The sequence below is a fragment of the Homo sapiens genome, chromosome 9, assembly GCF_000001405.40.
Source record: "Homo sapiens chromosome 9, GRCh38.p14 Primary Assembly".
NCBI classification, from domain to species: Eukaryota; Metazoa; Chordata; class Mammalia; order Primates; family Hominidae; genus Homo; species Homo sapiens.
The window spans coordinates 76,673,017-76,698,216 of NC_000009.12; the positions used below are offsets into that span (position 1 = coordinate 76,673,017).

The 25,200-nt window shown below is 41.4% G+C and overlaps 1 protein-coding gene and 1 long non-coding RNA gene across 45 annotated transcripts in view, besides 1 other annotated feature; one reads left to right on the forward strand and one right to left on the reverse strand.

Annotated features, from left to right (window-relative positions):
* The window catches only part of LOC105376095 (uncharacterized), an 84,799-nt gene extending 80,109 nt beyond the window's left edge, over positions 1–4,690 (forward strand). For all 3 annotated transcript variants that reach the window (XR_007061588.1, XR_007061590.1, XR_007061595.1), the window contains one exon: positions 4,433–4,690. This is a non-coding gene — a long non-coding RNA (uncharacterized LOC105376095). The remainder of the gene's footprint in view (positions 1–4,432) is intronic.
* The window catches only part of PRUNE2 (prune homolog 2 with BCH domain), a 294,739-nt gene that overhangs the window by 61,641 nt on the left and 207,898 nt on the right, over positions 1–25,200 (reverse strand). For 7 of the 42 annotated variants that reach the window (NM_001308050.2, NM_001308051.2, XM_017014357.3 and 4 more), the window contains exon 1: positions 19,058–19,181. The exons of 34 other annotated variants lie outside the window; for them this stretch is intronic. In NM_001308050.2, the coding sequence (NP_001294979.1) occupies positions 19,058–19,125 (68 nt within the window). In that variant the 5' untranslated portion in view covers positions 19,126–19,181. Of the gene's footprint in view, positions 1–14,611; positions 14,757–19,057; positions 19,182–25,200 lie in introns of those variants that run through there. One more of the 42 variants, NM_001308049.2, reaches the window with a different exon arrangement.
* Positions 15,496–15,997: an enhancer, noted in NCBI's record as "NANOG hESC enhancer chr9:79303428-79303929 (GRCh37/hg19 assembly coordinates)". NCBI's record gives its function as "activates a minimal SCP1, AML or CMV promoter by ChIP-STARR-seq in naive H9 embryonic stem cells {active_cell/tissue: H9 hESC(naive)}" and the evidence as "EXISTENCE:reporter gene assay evidence [ECO:0000049][PMID:30033119]".

Consider the following 25,200-nt stretch of genomic DNA (forward strand, 5'->3'; position numbering starts at 1 on the left):
TTCAAAAGCTAGCAGAAGGCAAAAAATAACTAAAATCAGAGCAGAACTGAAGGAAATAGAGATACAAAAAACCCTTCAAAAAATTAATGAATCCAGGAGCTGGTTTTTTGAAAGGATCAACAAAATTGATAGACCGCTAGCAAGACTAATGAAGAAAAAAAGAGAGAAAAATCAAATAGACACAATAAAAAATGATAAAGGGGATATCACCACCGATCCCACAGAAATACAAACTACCATCAGGGAATACTACAAACACCTCTACGCAAATAAACTAGAAAATCTAGAAGAAATGGATAAATTCCTGGACACATACACTCTCCCAAGACTAAACCAGGAAGAAGTTGAATCTCTGAATAGACCAATAACAGGAGCTGAAATTGTGGCAATAATCAATAGCTTACCAACCAAAAAGAGTCCAGGACCAGATGGATTCACAGCCGAATTCTACCAGAGGTACAAGGAGGAACTGGTACCATTCCTTCTGAAACTATTCCAATCAATAGAAAAAGAGGGAATCCTCCCTAACTCATTTTATGAGGCCAGCATCATTCTGATACCAAAGCCAGGCAGAGACACAACAAAAAAAGAGAATTTTAGACCAATATCTTTGATGAACATTGATGCAAAAATCCTCAATAAAATACTGGCAAAACGAATCCAGCAGCACATCAAAAAGCTTATCCACCATGATCAAGTGGGCTTCATCCCTGGGATGCAAGGCTGGTTCAATATACGCAAATCAATAAATGTAATCCAGCATATAAACAGAACCAAAGACAAAAACCACATGATTATCTCAATAGATGCAGAAAAAGCCTTTGACAAAATTCAACAATCCTTCATGCTAAAAACTCTCAATAAATTAGGTATTGATGGGACATATTTCAAAATAATAAGAGCTATCTATGACAAACCCACAGCCAATATCATACTGAATGGGCAAAAACTGGAAGCATTACCTTTGAAAACTGGCACAAGACAGGGATGCCCTCTCTCACCACCTCTATTCAACATAGTGTTGGAAGTTCTGGCCAGGGCAATGAGGCAGGAGAAGGAAATAAAGGGTATTCAATTAGGAAAAGAGGAAGTCAAATTGTCCCTGTTTGCAGACGACATGATTGTATATCTAGAAAACCCCACTGTCTCAGCCCAAAATCTCCTTAAGCTGATAAGCAACTTCAGCAAAGTCTCAGGATACAAAATCAATGTACAAAAATCTCAAGCATTCTTATACACCAACAACAGACAAACAGAGAGCCAAATCATGAGTGAACTCCCATTCGCAATTGCTTCAAAGAGAATAAAATACCTAGGAATCCAACTTACAAGGGATGTGAAGGACCTCTTCAAGGAGAACTACACTCACTTGAGCACTGCTCAAGGAAATAAAAGAGGATACAAACAAATGGAAGAACATTCCATGCTCATGGGTAGTAAGAATCAATATCGTGAAAATGGCCATACTGCCCAAGGTAATTTACAGATTCAATGCCATCCCCATCAAGCTACCAATGACTTTCTTCACAGAATTGGAAAAAAACTACTTTAAAGTTCATATGGAACCAAAAAAGAGCCCGCATCGCCAAGTCAATCCTAAGCCAAAAGAACAAAGCTGGAGGCATCACACTACCTGACTTCAAACTATACTACAAGGCAACAGTAACCAAAACAGCATGGTACTGGTACCAAAATAGAGATATAGATCAATGGAACAGAACAGAGCCCTCAGAAATAACGCCGCATATCTACAACTATCTGATCTTTGACAAACTTGAGAAAAACAAGCAATGGGGAAAGGATTCCCTATTTAATAAATGGTGCTGGGAAAACTGGCTAGCCATATGTAGAAAGCTGAAACTGGATCCCTTCCTTACACCTTATACAAAAATCAATTCAAGATGGATTAAAGACTTAAACGTTAGACCTAAAACCATAAAAACCCTAGAAGAAAACCTAGGCATTACCATTCAGGACATAGGCAAGGGCAAGGACTTCATGTCTAAAACACCAAAAGCAATGGCAACAAAAGCCAAAATTGACAAATGGGATCTAATTAAACTAAAGAGCTTCTGCACAGCAAAAGAAACTACCATCAGAGTGAACAGGCAACCTACAAAATGGGTGAAAATTTTCGCAACTTACTCATCTGACAAAGGGCTAATATCCAGAATCTACAATGAACTCAAACAAATTTACAAGAAAAAAACAAACAACCCCATCAAAAAGTGGGCGAAGGACATGAACAGACACTTCTCAAAAGAAGACATTTATGCAGCCAAAAAACACATGAAAAAATGCTCATCATCACTGGCCATCAGAGAAATGCAAATCAAAACCACAATGAGATACCATCTCACACCAGTTAGAATGGCAATCATTAAAAAGTCAGGAAACAACAGGTGCTGGAGAGGATGTGGAGAAATAGGAACACTTTTACACTGTTGGTGGGACTGTAAACTAGTTCAACCATTGTGGAAGTCAGTGTGGCGATTCCTCAGGGATCTAGAACTGGAAATACCATTTGACCCAGCCATCCCATTACTGGGTATATACCCAAAGGACTATAAATCATGCTGCTATAAAGACACATGCATACGTATGTTTATTGCGGCATTATTCACAATAGCAAAGACTTGGAACCAACCCAAATGTCCAACAATGATAGACTGGATTAAGAAAATGTGGCACATATACACCATGGAATACTATGCAGCCATAAAAAATGATGAGTTCATGTCCTTTGCAGGGACATGGATGAAATTGGAAACCATCATTCTCAGTAAACTATCGCAAGAACAAAAAACCAAACACCGCGTATTCTCACTCATAGGTGGGAATTGAACAATGAGATCACATGGACACAGGAAGGGGAATATCACACTCTGGGGACTGTTGTGGGATGGAGGGAGGTGGGAGGGATATCATCGGGAGATATACCTAATGCTAGATGACGAGTTAGTGGGTGCAGCGCACCAGCATGGCACATCTATACGTATGTAACTAACCTGCACAATGTGCACATGTACCCTAAAACTTAAAGTATAATAAAAAAAAAACCAAAAACAAAAAAAACTAATAGCCAATATTTTTAATAAATTAAAATTACATTAACAGTTGACAAGAAACAGAATTATGCAAGTACTCTAAATCAAGCTTGTTTAACCTGCGGCTGCAGATGGCTTTGAATATGGCCCGATATGAATTTGTAAACTTTGTGAAAACATTAAAAAAAAAAAAATCTTCCACTCAAATTTTTTTTTTTTAACAAAAATGTAAGTGCTAATCTAAATGCCTATCAGTAAGGGAATGATTAAATATAGCATGAAACACATTATGGTATTTCAATGTAAAAAAAAATCTAAATGTATTGACATAGAATGGTATTTAAGACGTATCTAATGAAAACTCGTTACAAAATGGTACATTTAGAATGATACTATTTCCATAAAATTATATACATTTATATGCATTTTTAGATATGGATAATATCTAGGAAGAATACATTGTTAATAGCAGTTACCTATGTGGAGTAGGTACAGGGGCGAAAGGAATTCCTACATTTGATTCACTTACTTTTCTGTGTTTCAATTTTTAAAATATGAACATGTGGCAACATTTTCAAATAAAAGGTAATTTGAAAATATTAAGATTCTATGCACTTCTAGGAATTTTGGGCAAATTCAAGTTAATGTTAGAAAAAAAGAAGTGCCTAGTAAGTAGTAATTTCAGTTGTTTATCAGTAGCAATATTACGATGTCACATCCACTGCCACATAATCGGGGCTCCTGACATTTTCCAAAATAAAGTGTAGGAAGCAGCAGAAATAGCGAAGCACATGAGCTGAAATGTTACCATTGAAAAAGAAAGCCAGAAAAACCCGAGCTCAGATTAATCCATCATTATGGAGGTCCTGCTGTTCCCACTGTCCACATGTCTATTATATTTGTTCATCTTCACAAATATTTTCTGAAGGTCCGATCTGTGCAAACAGTGGGTATTTTAAAATAAATAAGACACACCTGCTTCTCATGGCAGTTGCTGTATATAGCTTGGCTGATTCATCTTTCGCAATAGGTTGATTTAAATGTATCTAATTCTATCCTTGCGTTGCAGTCTGTTTTCCAATATCTGCAGTCTGTTTTCCAATTCAATAGTTTCTCTTTTGCAATGGTCTTTTCACTTTGGTTTCTTTTACTGTTGCTTTGTCTATTTTGTTAGATTTACTTTTCTTTTTTCAGTTTTGGATTTTTTAAATTATTTGCTTAAAAAAAATTCATTATTTTATTTATGTTCTTGTCCTTAAAGAAAAAAGAAACTCCTTGATTTTCACATAGTATTTCTCTGACTTCGAAAGCCTTTATACTTTTAAAATTAGCATCGTTTTTGATAGGATCCCTTTAAGGCATTGTTTTCCGTTCCTGTTTCACAGGTGAGGAAAATGAGGCAGAGAATGAAACATTTCCATCTGGATGACCAAACCGTCAGCTCCTAAAGGGCCGCAGAGGCTGAGGGCGCTGCTGGCAGCCGGCCCTCTGTGGACATTTGCTGAATAAACAGAAGATATGTGCACCAGTGTTCGCTCCTTTGGGTGATACCATCCCATTTTTATTTTCTGGATTTCCTTCCTGATGGGTCCATTGTTCCTCATTTTCCTCTAGCATTAAATTCCTTTATCTTTTCATTCCCACACAGTCGCTGCCTGTGGTTGAAAATTGAGTCACCTCTCAGGCCCCAGTGACTTTCCTGGAGAAGTCCAGGAAGCAGGCCTGCTGCAAGATCCGGGCAAATTCCTGGAATCCATTCCCCGAGGTCAGCATATGAGCTCAAACCTGGGACTGACCGGGGCAGACATAAGAAGGAACACTTCCCCCACACCCCACGAGGATTTGCACTCGAGTGTTCCAAACCATCCTGGGGCGAACGGGACACAGTGGGGAACAACTGGTCATATCTTTATGCCAGCGTTTGCCAGAGCCTGCGCCCAGAGAACCAGCTCCACAGATCTATGCCAAAAGGCTCTATGCCAATTAAGTTTGTGAAGCATCATATATTATATTCTCTGGGGATTGGCCGGGCTTGGGGGCTCATGCCTGTAATCCCAGCACTTTGAGAAGCTGAGGTCAGGAGTTTGAGACCAGCCTGGCCAACACGGCAAAACCCCGTCTCTACTAAAAGTACAAAAATTAGCCAGACGTGGTGGTGGGCGCCTTTAATCCCAGCTACTCAGGAGGCTGAGACAGGAGAATCGCCTGAACCCGGGAGTGGAGGTTGCAGTGAGCCGAGATGGTGCCACTGCACTCCAGCCTGGGAGACAAGAGCGAGACTCCATCAAAAAAAAAAAAAAAAAAAAAAAAAAAGGAAGGAGAAAGGGAAAGGAGGGAGGAAGGGAGGAAAAAAGGAAAGGAAAAAAAGAAAAAATGAAAAGAAGAAAAGATTTCTTGGTCAAAATGAGACATACAAAACCAAACATTTCTAGAGGACATCTCAGAGTCTGTAACAGATTCTTGGGCATTATAAAGACCTTCCTTGGCCGGGCACGGCGGCACACGCCTATAATCCCAGCACTTTAGGAGGCCGAGATGGGCGGATGACGAGGTCAGGAGATAGAGACCATCCTGGCTAACACGGTGAAACCTCGCCTCTACTAAAAATACAAAAAATTAGCCGGGCGTGGTGGCGGGCGCCTGTAGTCCCAGCTACTTGGAGGCTGAGGCAGGAGAATGGTGTGAACCTCGGAGGCGGAGCTTGCGGTGAGCCGAGATGGTGCCACTGCACTCCAGCCTGGGCGACAAAGTGAGACTCCGTCTCAAAAAATAAATAAATAAATAAAAATAAATAAATAAAGTCCTTCCTCCCTTCCTTCGAGAAGCACAGGTCTGAGACATAACCCCAAGAGATATGTGGGCCTCTACGGACAGCTAGGACTGCATCTAACAAGAATCTAGTAAATGCAGCCTGAACTGCTCTGTGGTATTTTTATTCCAGAAAGCCTCAAGATTCAGGAGGCAGGCTGCCTGCACTTGAATCTTGGCTCTGACCTTTTAAAATGTGCAACCTTATACGAGTTACAGAATTTCTATATGCCTCAGTTTCCTTATCTGTAAAATGCGAAAAGTAACACTACTTACTTAGAAAGTTGTTGTAAGGATTAAATGCGTTGATTTAGGTAGGGATAGGGAACACTGCCTTGCCAATCATGACTGATGACATATAAGGATTAGATATTGCTGTTACCATCATTTCAGTAATTTTGTTAAAAATTAAATACAATAGTGGTTTTCAAAACCAAGTGACCTGGATTCCAATGGAATTTTTTGAAAAAATAGGAAAATCTATTCTAAAATTTATTTGAAATTTCAAGGGACCTCAAATAGCCAAAACAATCTTGAAAAAGAATAAAGCTGGAAGTCTTACACCTCCTAATTTTAAAACTAATTACAAAGCTACAGTAATCAAAACAGTATAGTACTGGCATAAACACTGATATAGCTGAGCACTGTGGCTCACTCCTGTAATCCCAAGTACTATAGGAAGGCTGAGATAGAAGGATTGCTTGAGCCCAGGAGTTTGAAGCTGCAGTGAGCTATGATTGTATCATGTCACTGCACCCCAGCCTGGATGAGACTCTAAAATAAATAAATAAAAAGACAGATATATAGACTAGTGGAACAGAATAGAGAGTCCAGAAATAAACCCATGCCTATATTGTCAAATGATCTTTGATAAGGTTGCTGAGACCATTTAATGGGGAAATTATTCAACAAATGATGCTGGGAAAACAAGATATCCACATGTAAAAGAATGAAGTTGGACCCTCACCTTATGCAATATACCAAAATTGCTCAAAATGGATTAGCAATAAAAACATAAGACCCAAAATAGAAACTTCTAGCATAAAACATAGAAGAAAAACTTCATGACATTGGATTTGACAATATTCCTTGGATATGACACCAAAAGCATAGGCAACAAAAGAAAAAATAGATGGGACAACATGAAACTTAAAACCTTCTGTGCATCAAAGGATGCAATCAAGAGTGAAAGGCAACCTATGGAATGAGAGAAAACATTTGCAAGTCATATATCTGATAAGGGGTTAATATCTAGAATACATAAAGAACTCCTGAAACCCAACAACAAAAATGTACATAACCTGATTAAAAAATGGGCAAAAGAAATGGGCAAAGACATTTCTCCAAAGATGATATGCAAATGGCCAACGAGCATATGAAAAGATGCTCCACATCACTAATCATTAGAAAAATGCAAATCAAAACTACAATGATATATCACTTCATACTCATTAGGATGGCTACTGTTAAAAAAACAAACAAAAAACAAACAAACAAAAAACCAAAAACCAGAAAATAACAAGTGTTGGTGAGGATACAGAGAAATTGGAACACTTGTGCACTGTTGGTGGGAATATAAAATGATGCAGCCTCTTTTAAAAACAGGATGGTGGATCCTCAAATCGATTAAAAATAGAATTACCATATGATTTATCAATCCCACTTCTTGTTATAAGTCCAAAAGAATTTAAAGTAGGATCTCAAAGAGATATTTGCACAACCACATTCATAGCAGTTATAGGCATAATAACCAATAGGTGGAAGCAACTCAAGCGCCCATTAATGGAAGAATGGAAGTATTAGTCCATTTTCATACTGCTACAAAGAACTACCTGAGACTGGGTAATTTATTAAAAAGAGAGGTTTAATTGACTCAGAGTTCTGCATGGCTGGGGAGGCCTCAGGAAACTTACAATCACGACTGAAAGCAAAGGGAAAGCAAGGCACATCTTACATGGCAATAGAAGAGAGAGAGCAAAGGGGGAAGTGGCACACTTTCAAACAACCGGATCTCGTGAGAACTCACTCATTATCATGAGAACAGCAGCGGGAAGTCTGCCCTCAGGGTCCAATCACCTCCCACAAGGCACCTCCCCCAACACATGGAGATTATAATTCAAGATGAGATTCAGGTAGGGACACAGAGCCAAACCATATCAATGGATAAAGAAAATGTGGTATATGCATACACGAAATATTATTCAGCCTTAAAAAGGAAGAAAATCCAGTCACAGGCTATAGTATGAATGAACTTTGAGGACAGCATGCTAAATGAAATCAGCCAGTCACATAAGCGAGTCACACATGAAAAAACAAAACAAAAAACCATTACTGTATGATTCCACTATCTGAAGTATCTAAAGCAGTGACATTCATAGAAACAGAAAGTAGAATGGTGGTTGCCAGGGGCCGGGGAGATGGGGAAATGTTGTTTAATGGGTATTGAGTTTTAGTTTTAAGAAATGAAAACGTTCTGGAGATCTAGGCACGGCAATGTGAATGTACCTACCATAACTGAACTGTACACTTAACAATGGTTAAGACGGTAAATTTTATGTTATGTGTTTCTTACCACGATTAAAAAAAAAAAAAAAAAGCAGGTGCCCTGGGAAAGGGTACAAGATAGGTTTTTCTAAGCTCACAAAACCACCTTTGGATCATAAATCTGAAGGTGGACAGCCTGACAGGGACACTTAAGAGCTGTGGGATCTGTCTGTGAAGATCTCGACTGTGTGGGTGCCCACCCAGGTGCACTACAGCTTGATGTCCTGGGACAGCTGATGCTTCCACCACTGCTTCAATTTAGGCATCATTTTTACCCCTGAACCACCAGAAAGGTGCTCTTCAACCGCTCCCACAAGGAGCTATATCCTATCAGCCTGTGGAAATAAATCATCTCAGAATGTCACATAAAACACTTGTAAAAGGATCCCAGATTTATGTTAAAAACTCCTTTCAGGGAATTCTTATCAGCTAGAGGTTATTAAAAAAACTGGCAATTAAATCTAATCTAGTCAGGGTGTATCTTTTTAAAGACACAATGTCACCTTGAAATTTTAAGTAAAGTCCAAATAGTTTATTTTTAAGATAAGCTGATATTTTAAAGATGTATTTTAAATACATTAGGAGGAACTCTGAGAGTCATGGGAAGTGGCAAAGGCAGAGGAGGTGACAAAATGAGACCTCCCTGGAGACCAGAATTAGCAGGAGACAGTGAAGGCGATAAAAATGTTAGGAGAGAGAAGAGATTTGGCTCTTGATCTTAGCCAGAAGCCCCTCAGTAGACGGAGTGATTTAGACTTTAAAAGAGGCTTTATTTTCTCAGAGATATTAATAAAAAAACTTTTAAAAAGTCTTATTCATTATAAAAACATAGTTTACTTATAGAAAACTTACCATATATTTTATATATAAAAATAGAATTATATATGATAGAAAATATAAAGGAAAAATATTCCTAAATTTTGCCACTATGGATGATCACTATTAACTTTTTTTTTTTTTTTTGAGTTGGAGTTTCACTCTTGTTGCCCAGGCTAGAGTGCAGTGGCGTGATCTCGGCCCACAACAACCTTCGCCTCCTGGGTTCAAGCTATTCTCCTACCTCAGCCTCCCAAGTAGCTGGGATTACAGGTATGCGCCACCCCGCCCGACTAATTTTTTGTATTTTTAGTAAAGATGGAGTTTCTCCATGTCCATGGTGGTCAGGCTGGTCTTGAACTCCTGACCTCAGGTGATCTGCCTGCTTTAGCCTCCCAAAGTGCTGGGATTATGGGCGTGAGCCACTGTGCCCAGCCCCACTATTAATTTTTTATTTTATTTATTGATACACAATAGATGTACATATTTTGGGGAGTACATGTGATAATTTAATACATTAATATAATTTGTAAAGATCAAATCAGCATCACTTGGGATGGCTATCACTTGAAATATTTGTCTATTCTTTATGCTAAAAAATATTCAAATTTTTCTTTTAACTATTTTAAAAATATATAATAGATTACTCTAAACTATAGTCACTCTAATGATCTGGCAAAAACTAGGGCTTAGTTCTTCCACCAAACTGTACTTTTAATTGACCTCTCTTCATCTTCTCCTGACCATTAAATTTTTTAGTGTATTCAGATGTAATAGTTAGCCCAGTGTCCTCCCCAGACTCTTTCTTCTTTTGATAACAGCACCTCTATTCCCCTTTGGGGAATAATTTCTGCATCACACTAAGTCCCAGGGTTTGAGGGATGAAGGTAATTTCCTTTCCCGTCAGAGACAGGCAACTGACCCAGGACTGACCAATCAACAGAGTCCCCGCCCCTGCCAGAGTGATTGGTTCCACGAATAAGCACGTGACACCAGTTCTTCCAAGGAGACTCAACCCAGATTTTGTTGAAACCTCTGGGAAAAAGAAAGCCTTTCTCTGGGGATTGCAGTTGACTGTAATGTAAACCTGAGGGCCTATGGAGAGAGGAACCCACTGTATTAAGAAACAGAGACAATGAGTGAAGGAAAAAAAATGGGTAAACATTGACTGCGTGGTTGGAGCTTTCTTATTCACTTCTTCCTAGAGCCAGATTAGTTCTTAGGTTTTCATAATATGAGCCAATTAATATTCTTTTTAACCTAAGCAGGGTAAGTTGAGTTTTTGTCACCCATCACCCAAAATGACCTCACTGATAAAACAGATTGGGAAAAATATGTATGTTCTCAGGAAGCTTACATGTGGTATATTCTTGATTATAGAGACAGGGTTAACTCCCATATAAAGGAAGTGCCAGGGTCATGAACCCTGAAATTAGGCACACCTTCATATATTTGTTGGATGAATGCATTTCGTTTATCACTCCTCTAATTCTGAATGCAAATGAAAGAATATCATAGAATATCATGGGAGGGGACAGGCCCTGAAACCTGATGCTAACATATATGTGCATGTATTTATCTATATATATATATTTATGCCCCCATAAATTATATTTGTGTATGTATATATACATATATACACATATGTATTTGCATACCCCATGAATATTTTTGTGTATACATAAAATATATATAGTATACATTATATGTACATATTATATATATATACACATATATACACACACACGAATATATATTGATGGGATACAATGTGATGTTTTGACATATATTTACACTGTAGAATGATTAGATTAAGAAAATTGACAAATCCATCACCTCACATACTTATGTTTTTTGTGGTGAAAACATTTAAAATCTACATTTTTAGTAATTTTGAAATATACAATGCATGATTATTTATTATAGTCACCACTCTACAACAGATCACTAAAGTTTATTCTTCAGATCTAACTGAAATTTTGTACCCTTTGATCAATCACTCCCCTTTCCTTCATCCGCTTTCCAGTCTCTGGCAACCACCATTCTACTCTACATCTACGAGTCTGAGGCTACTTTTTGAAAAAGCTGCTTGAGTTTGCCTGGCCTGCTAGTTTGTCTCCCAGCACGGTTTCTCAGAGACAAGTCAAAGGGAGCAGGGAGAGGAGGAGGAGTCAGCTGCAGACTCAACCCCAGGGCAGCTCCAGAGTCCCTGTGCTCCCTTCCTGTCTCAGTCTCATTTCCTCCACTTTCCCAATGGTTGGGGTCTAACAGATCTAAGTTAGCTACCTCTTCGCAGTGGCAAAATTCCAGGTTAACTTAGGGTTTCAATATTCTTTGAGGATTCTGGACTTCCTTAGATATCCAGCGTAAAGCTGATGGACTTCTTCAGGTCCCTTCATACTCATTGTCCCACAAGAAATTTCTCCTTAGCCTTTCACACCAGTTTAAGAAAAACAATGCTCACAAACAGGGAGGCAATCTACCCTGGTGGGGGTCAATGGGACTCACTCCACTTCTGCCTCTTATTTATTTATTTTTGAGATGGAGTCTCGCTCTGTTGCCCAGGCTGGAGTGCAGTAGCACAATCTCAGCTCACTGAAACCTCCACCTCCCGAGTTCAAGCAATTCTTCTGCATCAGCCTCCCGAGTAGCTGGGATTACAGGAGTGCACCACCATGCCTGGCTAATTTTTCTATTTTTAGTAGAGACGGGGTTTCACCATGTTGGTCAGGCTGGTCTTGAACTCCTGACCTCAAGTGATCCACCCTGCTCGGCCTCCCAAAGTGCTGGGATTACAGGCGTGAGCCACCGCGCCCGGCCACTTCTGCCTCTTATTAACCATGTAAATGTGCTAAAATTACTGACTTCTCTTAAGACTCAGCTTCCTTATCTGCAAAATGGGAATGAGAGGACAGATTTCAAAGAGATAATGAGTAAAGTGCTTGGCAAAAGTTCTATTATATGATTACATCTAATATTACTATTATATTATTAGAAGATGCTGGGTTACACTTAGCCTTCTATATTTACTCTGGGTCTCCAAGGAGGTTATGGATCCCCCTGAAGGGATGCAGAGACTCATCACTGAAGTACAATAAACGGTTTATGGGGTTGGGGGCCTGTCACCAATCACAGGACCATCAGGAATTCCTGGCACATATGCTGTCACATTCCTAAGGTATCTATTATGGGAGGAATTGCATCCTCCAAGATTCTTATGTTGAAGTCTTAACCCTTAGTACCTCAAGGTGTGTGTTTGGAAATGGGGTTTTTGCAGAAGTAATTAAGTGAAAATGAGGTCATTCGGGTGGGCCATAGTTCAATATGAATGGCATCCTTATAGCAAGAGGAAATTTGGACACAAACACACACAGAGGGAAGACCGGAAGACCAGAAGACATGGGGAGAAGACAGCCATATGCAAGCTAAGGAGAGAGAGGCCTCAGAAGAAACCAATTCTAGCAATACCTTGATCTCAGATTTCCACAACTGTGAGAAAATAAATGTCTACCGTTTAAGCCACCTCATCTTTGGTACTTTGTTATAGCAGCCCTAGCAAACCAATAAAGTATCAGATCTTCACCGGTATATCCAGTGTCAAGGAGGAGACTCTTGACTCTGGAAGGAGTATATCAGTCCTTTCATTCATCTTCTCTGCTAGAAAGCCCTTCTATGGCTGCCTGACAGATCTCCAGGGAGAGAGAGAAACCTAAGTTAGGCCCCTTGACACTGGGAGAAAGAGGTCATCCCGCTTACTTACATGTATCCTGCTGCACAGTATAATCACATTCTATGAAGCTAATTATAAGACTTGATTAATTTCATACCCTCCTGAGGGATACATTCAGTAATCATACGGCTCTGCCAACCTCTTGGGGAGAACTGATTCATTTAACCATCTCTTTTTCATTTCTATGTCTTCACTGTATAAATGTAAACAGATATTCAGGGAAGAAAATGTGCTTATGCTTTTAAATAATTGTTGTTCACAGAGTTATAGCATTACATGAGATTCCATGACTCTGTCTTATACATCACTCACATTTTTGGGTTACCAGGTCCCTGCTGATAGATGAAAGTACTGGAAAATAAACATAACAGCTCAATACCAGCTATATACTCATCCAGCTAATGGCAAGCACATAAAAAAACTTGGTGAGACACTCATCATAGGAAATCCAATCTCTGTCTTTATTGCAAAGACAGGAGCTCTTTTGTTTTTATTTTTGTTTTTATTTTTTTGTGACAGGGTCTCACTCTGTCACCCAGGCAGGAGTGCAGTGGCATGAACACGGCTCACTGCAGCCGTGACTTCCCAGGCTCAAGTGATCCTCTCACCACAGTCTCCAAGTAGTTGGGACCACAGGCATCCACCACCATGCCTGGCTGTTTTAAAAAAATTTTTGGTAGAGTCAGGGTCTGACTGTGTTGTCCAGGCTGGTCTGGAACTTCTGGTCTCAAGAGATCCTCTCACTTTGTCTCCAGAGTAGATGGGACCACAGGTATGTGCCACCATGCCCAGCTAAGTTTTTAAAAAAAGTTTTTTGGTAGAGATGGTGTCTCACTATGTTGCCTAGGCTGGTCTCAAACTCTTGGCCTCAGGAGATCCTCCCATCTTCGCCTCCTGAGTAAGTGGGACCACAGGTGTGAGCTACCACAGCTGGCTAAGGCATTTTTTGAAAATTTTTTCATAGAGATGGGGTCTCACTGTGTTGCCCAGCCTGGGGTCAAACTCCTGGCCTCGAGTGATCCTCCCACCTTGGCCTCCCAAAGTGTCAGGACTACAGGCATGAGCCACCGCACCCAGCCCAGCCATGAGCCTTGATTACATCTGAACTTAGTCTAATGTACAAGGAAAACTTCCCCATGGCCAGCCCGGGAATGAGGCTCAACTCCATCCCACATTTGCTTTCTTTCAATGATCTCTACTGACCTTTCTATAGATAAACAGTCTCTAGCTCTCCTTTCATCTCCATTTTACCTGTGTCCTCCTTACCTACCTCATGCTCAGCTGCTCTCTTGGGATCACACTATGTTGGTTTCACTCCTATTTTATTTTAGGAAGAACTATTTTTAGAACATCCAATTTCATCAACCTTTCCTGGATATTTCTGGGAACTGGATGTAGAAAAATATAATTGTTAAGGGGTAACACTGGTGGGCAATGGTGGCTTTATGAATGGGACTTTCATCTTGGGTTTGAGCAGCACTAAATCCTGCTTTTCAGGGCAATATTGAAAGCATGTGTTTGGTTTTCAATTTTTGGATTGGAAGGGATATTGAATGCTCTCTCTCTCCAGGTAAAACCATATCAAGATTGTTCTAGTAATCTGCCTAGGGTTTCCAAAGCAGACTGCCACAAGCTTTGACAGTTGTAGCTTCTTTCTGATACTCACTGTTTGTTTCTCAGGCCATTCATTCCGGTAGGAGTTCAACAAACATTTGAGTCCTAGAGCCATATGGAAAGTGTTAGCCTCGGGGGAGGCTGTATTACAAAAAGAATGGATCAGAGACACATTCTGCTCTCAGAGAATTTAAAATCTAGGAGGATAAAGAGGAAAAGACACATACAGGTTCACACAAAACAGCACAGGAGGGGCTAAAAGACATGAGAGTCCTACACGAATTTCAGAGATAGCAGCAGTTCCTCCAGATGCGGGGGTAGAGTAGAGCAATCTAGAAGCCTCCAATAAAAGGTGGTATCTGGCCCGTTAGTAAGCCAGGGAGGCAATGAGGATAGATTATATCTGAACTCTCCTGTTCTTTTTCTTCCCACTTTCTCCTCAGTTCCTGAGCCCACAATCAAGACTCATTCTGTTCTTGCAACCTATGAGTCAGAATCTCCTTGGAGCTTGTCACAGACAACATTTGGCCTCACCCCTGCCCTGAAGCTGGGTGTTCTCTTTCTATAGCAACTGCCCAGGAAGTAAGAGCCTGACCAGAGGAAAACGTCACCATCCTCTTCACACCCCATCCCAATAGGTACACCTCAGTAGATACAGAGGTCTGCAGACCTGCCCTCTTGGCAACAAAGAAAGTGTAGTCATAGAGACCATTGTCCAACACCAGGACCATGACCTAAGGCTGATGAATCAGATGTGGTTTTTCACTTGCAGTAAGTGTTGCTGCCCAAGTCGGCTCTGTCTTGTTCCATTGAGGAGAGAGTTTTGTGCTTTCTTTGCTTGCTTATATGAACTTATATCAAGTAACTCACCAAGGCTGCAGGTTCTCAGACACGAAGAATGAAATGATGACCTTTCACAGGGCTTGCCAATTCTTCTGTGGGCACCTCCCCAGTAGGTTCTCATCTTCCTCAATTTTCATGCCCTCTAGCTTTCTTCCGTGTCTGCAGTTCTAAAACTACCTCCCTTCTTTCCATCCCAGGAACAGTTCCAGCCTTGACTTCCAGTCTCAGGTGGATTGCCACTTCCCATCTGCCCTCCCATTTCTCTTGCATCATTGCCAGTCTATTGCAATCACAATACCCAGCTCAAGAAACATCAGCTTTCCATTGCTGACAAAAAACACTGAATACAGACTTCCTTGTTGCAGCCTCAGGGCCTCTTAACCATTTAGAATAATCCATCCTTAGCTTCTCCAGCTGCTCTACCTTTTAGGCAAAATGAGATTCTCTTAAGTCTCCCAACTCCAACCGATAGCTCTCCTGACTCCATAGCTGGGTTTATTATATTCCCTCCAGCTGCAGTGTTCCTTCTCCCAACCTATTGAAATCTACCTCATCCATGAATCCTGTGGTAGCCACTCTACAACAAAGGAAATGAAGCAACACTTTCTGACCTTTAAGCACCCAGAGCCCCACCGTTGTGTAATCTCTTATGGAATTGATTTCACTCTGTCCTTCACAGCCATTTATTTTACTCTCTCCTCCCCACACTAGAGTGAGGAGAGACTGCACCTTAGTTACCTTTGTATCATATGCATTTCTTAGGGATAGCATCCTGTTAATAATAAACACTCAAGTTCTGACAGTAGAGTTGTTTCATTTTCCCCAAATGCATATGAGTTTAAGGGTTGTAAATGAATTAGGAAATGCCACCTTATCCTAAAAATAGAAGAGTGGTAGATTTATTTTTAAGCCATGAAAAATGTTAACGCATGGACTAGATTTCTTTTCTTTTTTTGAGACAGATTCTTGCTCTGTCACCCAGGCTGGAGTGCAGTGGCATGATCATAGCTCACTGCAGCCTCAACCTCCTGGGCTCAAGGCATCCTCCTGCCTCAGCCTCCCAAGCAGCTGGAACTACAGGTGCATGCCACCACATTCAGCTAATTTTAAAATTTTCTATAGAGACAGGGTCTCTATAGAGACCAGCTCAGGCTGGTCTCAAACTTCTGGTCTCAAGTGATCCTCCTGCCTCAGCCTCCCAAAGTGCTGGGATTGCAGCCATGAGATACCGCACCAAGATTTTTTTCTCAAAGGCCCTGGGATGACAGGAAGTAGCACAAGGTCCAGAGCTAAGACCCCTGAGTTCTGATCCCAGCCAAGCCACTGATTGGGTGATCTTAAGACAATCACTCACTCTAACTAGGACTCATTTTCTGCCTGTAAACTCAAGAAGTGAATCCAAATGAATTCTAAAATTTAGTTCAGCTTCTATTACTTTAGCAGTTGAATTTCAGGATTCAAGAACAATACAAGGAATCAAACAACTATCAAAATAGCAGGCAAATAGGCAGCTATCAGAACAAGATAGAGCCAACCTTGGCAACAGCCCTCTAAGGAAAAGAGTGCTCAAATGAAGGGCATCTACTCCAGCTTCTTCTCCAATGCCCCTCTTATGGGGCCAGAAGTTTCAGACTAGCCTGAGCAACATAGTGATAAACCTATCCACAAGCATCTCATGATTCCTGCCAGGATTAATCCAGAAGGAGCCATGTTCTTTGTCAACCTGGCAGACAAGATACCAGGGGACAGAATCTGTCCTTCTCTACTTTTCCTTCTGCCCTTTCTCGCCCCTTCTTCCTTCCCCCAACTACCAATTACCCTTAACTTGGATTGGTAAGGAATTGAGAAACCATCCCAGATACAAATACTACTCTGGCAGGAACTTGGTTCATGTAAAGCCTCTGCCTGCAAAATCTTGACAATAGCAAACAGAGGGCAAGCAATTCCAGGCTAGTTAAGTAGGAAAAAAACCCAGCTTTTATTTGCTGTAGATAAACCTAAGCTTTTGCACTGTAACCTATATCAGGTACCTGAACCTATGTGCAAACCCTGCACCTTGTCCTCTAGCTAGAAAGGGTGAAGTTAAAAACTCAAGAAAGTACTGTGATCTCTTATTGGAGAGATAATCTTCCCAGGAGTACAAAGCCACTCAAGATTGAGAAACCAAGTGGAATGTAAATAGAAGTTCACTGGGATGTACCAAAGAGAGCACTAACCATTGGGGAAAAAAAGTTAATTTGACTTCTTGTTAATAGGAAGGAGAATCTGGCTCACTATCCTCAAGTATCTATGAGGCATTAAACCTTATTTAGGACATAAAGGGTAACTTTGCATTACAAAGCTACATCTCACAGGGATGTTTAGGTGCTGCTGACTTCCAATGACAATAACCTCATCTTGTTGTTCTGAGTTGGGGAACAAGGTCCACACCATTTTAGAGTACTGAGCTTTCAGTACCCTAAAAATGTTTAATTTGCCCATAGAGACATTTCCATAAAAGCCGTTTTGTTTTATTTTACCTCCCAGATAGGAAGTTTCTCTTAGCAATTAAGAGCAATTCCATGGGTCATTTTTTTGATTGCCAGGCATCGTAATCTAATTATTCCAGATTTTACATTCCGTGCATATTATCTGTTATGATTCTAAGAAAACTTTCATCAGATGAAGATTTTGGAATAGACTCATGCAGGAGCCGCTCCCATTTTCTCTACAGGAGGGGCGCAGGGCAGCCATCTGGCTGTAAGTGGTCCTGGAAGCTGCACTCACATAGCAGCTTACATAAGATCAAACCATGTCAACAGTTCACATCAAAGAGGGGGCAGTGGATGGAGATTATGCCCCCTTTCCCTTTCATCCACATGGCCAGTACCCTGATCTCTGGCAGAGTCACACTTTAAATCACTTCTACTAGGTAAGAGTCTACCGTTGTTTTCTAGTTACCACACAGAAATTTAATAACCTGTGTATTCCTGGTTGAAACTGACCAGGTAGTAATTTTTTTACTTTCTCACATAACTTAGTTTCTCAGTGAAATACTGATATCCTTTCAGTAGAGTATTCTTTCTTGATTTTGAAAAGACAAAGGGAACAACATAAGCCCATGTTTGAGGATGACCTATTTCTGCAGCTTAAAACTCAGGTAAGACTTAAAGGTTACAAGATTCTTTAGAAAAACAGATGCACTAGCTTCAATAGCAATTAGTAATAACATTTAAAAAATGCCTCTCTACCAGAGCTGTCCTGCTTGTCAAATAATCCAAAGAGACATTATATTTCTCATTAGGCAATAGTCCCAAACAGTTTCAAATCTGTCACTTCCTTTTATTTTTCTCTCTCCATTTTCATCATAAATATAAAGGAAAACAAAATGATTACAGCTGTGCAAAGTCTGTTTCCTGATTACCTGATAGCCAAGAAAGGGGCGGGGACAGCATAACGACCACAAGCTTTTCTAGGATGAGTGGATACGGAATAAAATGCAGCTGGCAGCTGTCAGTTGCAAGGGGCTGGGCAGAATTCGGCATCCTCTCATCCCCCTCCCGTCTCCCCCGCCAACTTCCCAGCAGCAAGAGATTAGTCTTTGAGAACAACACTCTCCATCTCATTCTGTCCTTCCCGTACCGATCTCCTAAAAGCTACACCAGGACCCACCTACCTTCTGAGGATGAGAGGAGGCTTTCTAACGGAGGGTGAGAAGGATGCACGACTACAGCTCTTCAGCATCTCTCTTCTGAGCAGTTAACTGGAAATACAGATTCGCCTCCATTTTCTGGTCACATGATCTCTGGCACATCTAAATAAGGATGATCACCTGCCTCCCAGATCTCCCCATGCAGCCGCTGTGGCTAGGGGGCACAGCTGGGGCTGTGCTGAGTTTCATTTGGGAATATACGATACCCTTTCACCCACGTTGTGGAGTCAAAAATGCTCTTTAATTTTTATGTCAGTTGAGGAAAACTGCTGCTACTCCTGCTCCCGAGTGAGACTGGATGTGAATGGGCTCAAAGCACAAGTTGTAAGGAATTTAGTTCTCTTGAAACCTCTTTTTAAAAAAAAATCCTGTAGTTTCACAGCACATACCTATATGACAGCAATGTAATTATTTTCATTGAATGAACAATGGTTAAGATCATAATAAAATGGACTGTGGAAGCATAGCAGGATTCATAAGGAAGTCCAGCTTCGGTCCTAGAGAAAGTTAGGATGCTTGTCTAAGATCAGTACGACTTCAGCGACTGGGAGAAAAAGGGGTGTGGAAGTTAACCTGTGGACCCTGCAGTCACAAGGCCAAGTTCAAAGCTGATTTCTACCACTTATTAGCAAGTGTGGACGTTACTAAACCTCATGGCACCTTAAGACTGCTCATTTACAGAATGGACAGTAATCATGATGTTCTTTAAAAATGGTAAGATAGCCGGGTGTGGTGGCACGTGCCTGGAGTCCCAGCTACTCAGGAGGCTAAGGCAGGAGAATCTTGAACCCAGGAGATGGAGGTTGCAGTGAGCCGAGATTGCATCGCTGCATTCCACACTCCAGCGCTGGCAACAGAGTGAGACTCCCTCCACCCCCTCCCCCCCTCCAAAAAAAAAAAAGGTAAGATAACCTATGTAGAGACTCTGGGTTAAAATAAACTCACAGTACATGTTAGCTACTACTACTATTATTAATTCTAAAAATGCCAGCAGATATATTGACACAATTAAGGCAAACAAAGTATTAATGAAATGTTTACAAAATAGAAAGGCATGTGTTTATTTGTATGATCTTCAAAAAATATATATTATCAGATAAACCAAAGACTTCTAGCAAAATGTCAATTTGGGAAATAACTAAATATCCAATGTTACATAATCTTTTTCTTTTTTTGATGGGGGGGGCAGGTGAGGAGGGGACCATGGCAGAATAGGGGGATGGGCAATTTTAGGTAATCTCCAATTGACCTAACTCTAATGGAATGGGAAAGTGAATTACTCAGCAGATGACCACCAGGGTAGGTGCTTAAGAGATGTTAGCACCTACTCTTTTTTTTTTTTTTTTTTTTTGGAGACGGAGTCTTGCACCATTGCCCAGGCTGGAGTGCCGTGGTGTGATGTCAGCTCACTGCAACCTCTGCCTCCCAGGTTCAATCGATTCTCCTGCCTCAGCCTCCTGAGTAGCTGGGACCACAGGCGTGCACCACCACGCCCAGCTAATTTTTGTATTTTTAGTGGAGACGGGGTTTCATCATATTGGTGAGACTGGTCTTGAACTCCTGACCTCGTGATCCACCCGCCTTGGCCTCTCAAAGTGCTGGGATTACAGGCGTGAGCCACTGCGCCCGGCCTTAGCTCCTATTCTTATGGTAAGAAAGGGAGTAGATGAAGAAGGTGCAAATTTTCTATCTTTATTTAAACTAAAAGCCTACAAAATTCTTCATAATTATGAATAGTCATGAAATAATTTCTCACGTGCCATGTATCTTTCAGCTATGAAGGAGACGGGGGTGGGGCCCACAGGAAGGTGTCACTTTGCAGGGTCACTGGCTGTCAGAGGTTCAGCAAAAGCATGGGTGAATTTTCCCAAATCATTAGGGGAGAAAAAATAACTTCGGAGCTGGTTGTATCTTGGGAATGTCTGCCCAGGGCAAAGGCTGAAAATGGGGATCTTGTCTTTAAGAAGTGCTGGCTCATTAGAAGGGGCTTCCTTCCCCATTTGGGAAAGGCAGCAACTGAAGGCTACAGAACAGACACTGTAACTAATTCTGTTTTATTTGTTTTGTTTCGTTTTTTTTTTGAGACGGAGCCTAGCTCTGTTGCCCAGGTTCGCCCAGGCTGGAGTGCAGTGGTGAGATCTCGGTTCACTGCAACCTCTGCCTCCCAAGTTCAAATGATTCTCCAGCCTCAGCTTCCTGAGTAGCTGGGATTCCAGGCATGTGTCACCATGCCCAACTAATTTTTGTATTTTTAGTAGAGACAGGGTTTCACCATATTGGCCAGGCTGGTTTTGAACTCCTGGCCTCAGGTGATCCTCTCACCTTGGCCTCCCAAAGCGCTGGGATTACAGGTGTGAGCCACCACATCCGGCCTAATTCTGTTTTAAATAATAATATCTGTTTTGGAACTTAGCAGTTGGCCAGGCACAGTGATTAAGTTATTGTCATCAGGCCAATCATAGATACCTTAAAAACATTTTAAGTAATACTTCATTAAATGGAAATGTGGGACATAGGTTATCACCAGTAATACTCCTTTTTGTCTTGCAAGATGTTCTCACAGATTGTGCCAGGGCAAAACAGTCCTAACTCAGAGTATGCTGGGCATTTGAGGAAATGCATTATTTTATTCATTATACAAAGGCAGTTAAAAAAAATTTTTTTTAAATAAGAATTACTGCTTAACTGCAGTAAATAGCATTCTATTATGTTGAAAAAAAGGGCACGTAGATGTCAAATTCTCCAGTGGAGTTTTAGTTATTCTCTGAGAGCCTAATTAATACTTTTAAATTATTATTTAATAAATGGAAGTTTAAAAAATAAATATAAAAAGGTCTTTGAAGATTACATATTATCAACAGCTGCTTGAGTTGATGGTATAATAGATGACTAATTAAATAAAACCATGTTCCTCTCTAATAAAAAAAGTTATTATTATTATTATTTGAGATGGTCTCACTCGTTCACCTGGGCTGAAGTGCAGTGGTACAATCTCAGCCCACTGCGATCTCCATCTCCCAGGTTCAAGCAATTCTCCTGCCTCAGCCTCCCAAGTAGCTGGGATTACAGGTGTGTGCCACCACGCCTGGCTAATTTTTTTGTATTTTTAGAAGAGATGGGATTTCACCATGTTGGTCAGGCTGGTCTCGAACTCCTCACCTCACGTGATCTGCCCGACTCAGCCTTGCAAAGTGCTGGGATTACAGGCATAAGCCAGCGCGCCCAGCCAGGAGAAGTTATTTCAAGGTGAAGAGATTATAATACCCATGGTATAGGCAACAGATGACCAAGAAGGAAAATTGAACAGACACACCTATTTTCTCCCCATGAGGATGAGTGACTAACAAAACTCTAAGAAAACTGAAAGGCTGAAAGAATCTTGGAGGAACTGTAATGAACAAGAAAGGCATGGGAACACTGAAAATGGGTAACTATGGCCTCAAATTACAAAAGAAGGAAAAAGATGGATTTGGTAACTTGAGAAAAGAAAGATGCATATTCCTTCCAAACTAAAACTAGCACATCTCCCTTGGGAAAAGAAGCAACAAATGCCAGAAATTATCACAGTGTCATTAGAAGCAAATTATGTTGAGCAAACTACCCTTTCTTTTCTATTCATTCAATCAGGCCTATTTATGGGGTGTCTAACATGTGGCAGGTGCTATTCTAAGCAACAGGGGTACCGTGATGAACAAGACAAACCAAACTCCTGCTTTCTTGGGGGTTATACTCTCATAGGTGGAGACAGATGCAACAGAATCAATTAAATAAATAAGTAAATAGAAGATCTTTTCAGATGGAAAAAAAAAAGTAGTAGCAATAAAATAAGGCAGAGAGATGGAGCAGAGTTCTCGACACTGGCAGTGTTGACATTTGGGGCTGGATAACCCTGTGTGGCGGGGGGCACTCCTGTGCACTGTAGGATATGTAACTGCATCCCTGGCCTCTGCCCATTAGATGACAGCAGTACCCACCCCAGTTGTGACAACCAAAATGTCTCCGACGTCAGCAAGTATTCCCTGCTGGTTCAGAACCGGCAGCTTGGACTTCTACAAAGGGTTACCCAATCCTGCACTGACTTTTTGATAGCCTTTGTTCCTGAAGAACTCTTACATAGATCTCAGAAACTGATCCTCCAATGTACTGGAGAAACAGTTAACTAATCGTGCACAGGAACATCTCAGGACAGTTTTCAGAGGCTGAGGTCCACCACTCTCCAATTCGGCTAGCTGCACTGAACAGCTTCTGTTTGCTTCGTCAGCTCTACTCTCCTACTTTCTCCATTTTGCTTTCTGCCCCAAGCCTCCCTCACCCTCCGACTTCCACTAGGTTTTTTGTTTGTTTGTTTGTTTGTTATCCAGGCTGGAGTGCAATGGCATGATCTCGGCTCACTGCAACCTCCCCCACCCAGGTTCAAGTCATTCTCATGCCTCAGTCTCCCGAGTAGCTGGGACTACAGGTGCCCGCCACCACACCCAGCTAATTTTTGTATTTTTAGTAGAGACGGGGTTTCTCCATGTTGGCCAGGATGGTCTCAAACTCCTGACCTCAAGTGATCTGCCCGCCTTGGCCTCCCAAAATGCTGGGATTACAGGCATGAGGCGCCACGCCCAGCCTCCACTAGGTTTTGACCAGTGAGGATCCCTGGTGGGAGATGCGGGGGAAGAGGCGGGAGTGCCTCCCGCTGGCCGTGTCCCTCACACTAGGTCACTATGCCTTTCAGGGTGGCCTTTTCTACCTGAAATAGTCTTTCTGGGTTCTGGTCATCACTCTGTCTCCCCACTCCTGGGGTCTAGGAAGAATAACAGCCGTACTGCTCCTGTTCTTGGGCTACGCACTATTCCTTGTGAGTTCCTCACACTTTGCCTCCATCTTCGTAAATACTCTCTTTATTAAATCTCTCAAATTTTCCTAATTTGAATGTGTCATCACTTTCTTGCTGTGCCCCTGATATGCGAATATACCCTGCTTTCGAAAGTCATGGCTTCTTGTCTTCCTCAAATACCAGCAATTTTCATAGAGATTTTTTTCCCCCTAAAGCAAGCAATGCCACTAGTTGTGATGTTTCAAGTTTCCAGCCAGAGAAGCACCTTGGGTTTTTCCTCAAACTAGAAGCCAATACAACACAAATGGACTCCTTTGTGGGCGTTCCTCCCACGGGGAAACAGAGTTGCACCACCTCATCTTGGCACTTGTGGCTCTCTCTGGCTGTAAAATCCCTCACCACAAAATACCACACCTATAAATATTTGGAAAACGTAAATGAACATTGAGGGGCTTTGATGCTCTCCCTTCCCTCTGGCCTCCAACCACTCGAGTTGGTCCCACACACCACAGATGGGGAGCAGCCCACTGACATGGCACAAGCACTCACAGATCCACCGTGGGAGCAAATATTTACTCAGGTATCAAAAAAGCCCAGTAGGTCACAAGACAGTCTGAGGAGTCAGGCATGGGTTCTGGCTCAGTCTGTCTCAAAATATCTCCTGTTACACTTTATGTGCCTTTCAACGAGATAACGGGAGAACAGGAATGAAAACATCAACCTATAGAAGCAGCTCAAGAGAAATGCTTGTTTGGGCAGCTGTGTTTCATTGACAACCACTGGGCTAGACAGAGAAGACTTAAATTTAGGTCCTAACCTCACCACTTTCTCATTTCTGGATGACATGAAGCAGTTCATGTGTTAAGTCAGTTTGCTCATCTGGCTGGGAAATGGGGAGAGGAACACTTGCCCTGTCTATCTCAAGTGTCATTTGGGTGGACCAAAGAAAATAATCTATTTGTCAGTCTGCAAGCACTTACTATGGAAAGTCTGCTCTGGGTAGGGCTGGCCAGAAATGTAGAAGTGGGTGGAGGGCATGACAGAGAGAGAAAGCAAGAGAGAAGAAGGAAATGAAGGAAAGAGACTAAGTCCTGAATTAAACTGCAAATGTAAAGGATTTTTTTTTTTTTTTGACAAAGTTTTGGTCTTTCACCCAGGCTGGAATGAAGTGGTGTGATCTCGGCTCACTGCAACCTCCGCCTCCTGGGTTCAAGCGATTCTCTTGCCTCAGCCTCCCGAGTAGCTGGGATTACAGGCGTGTGCCACCATGCCTGGCTAATTT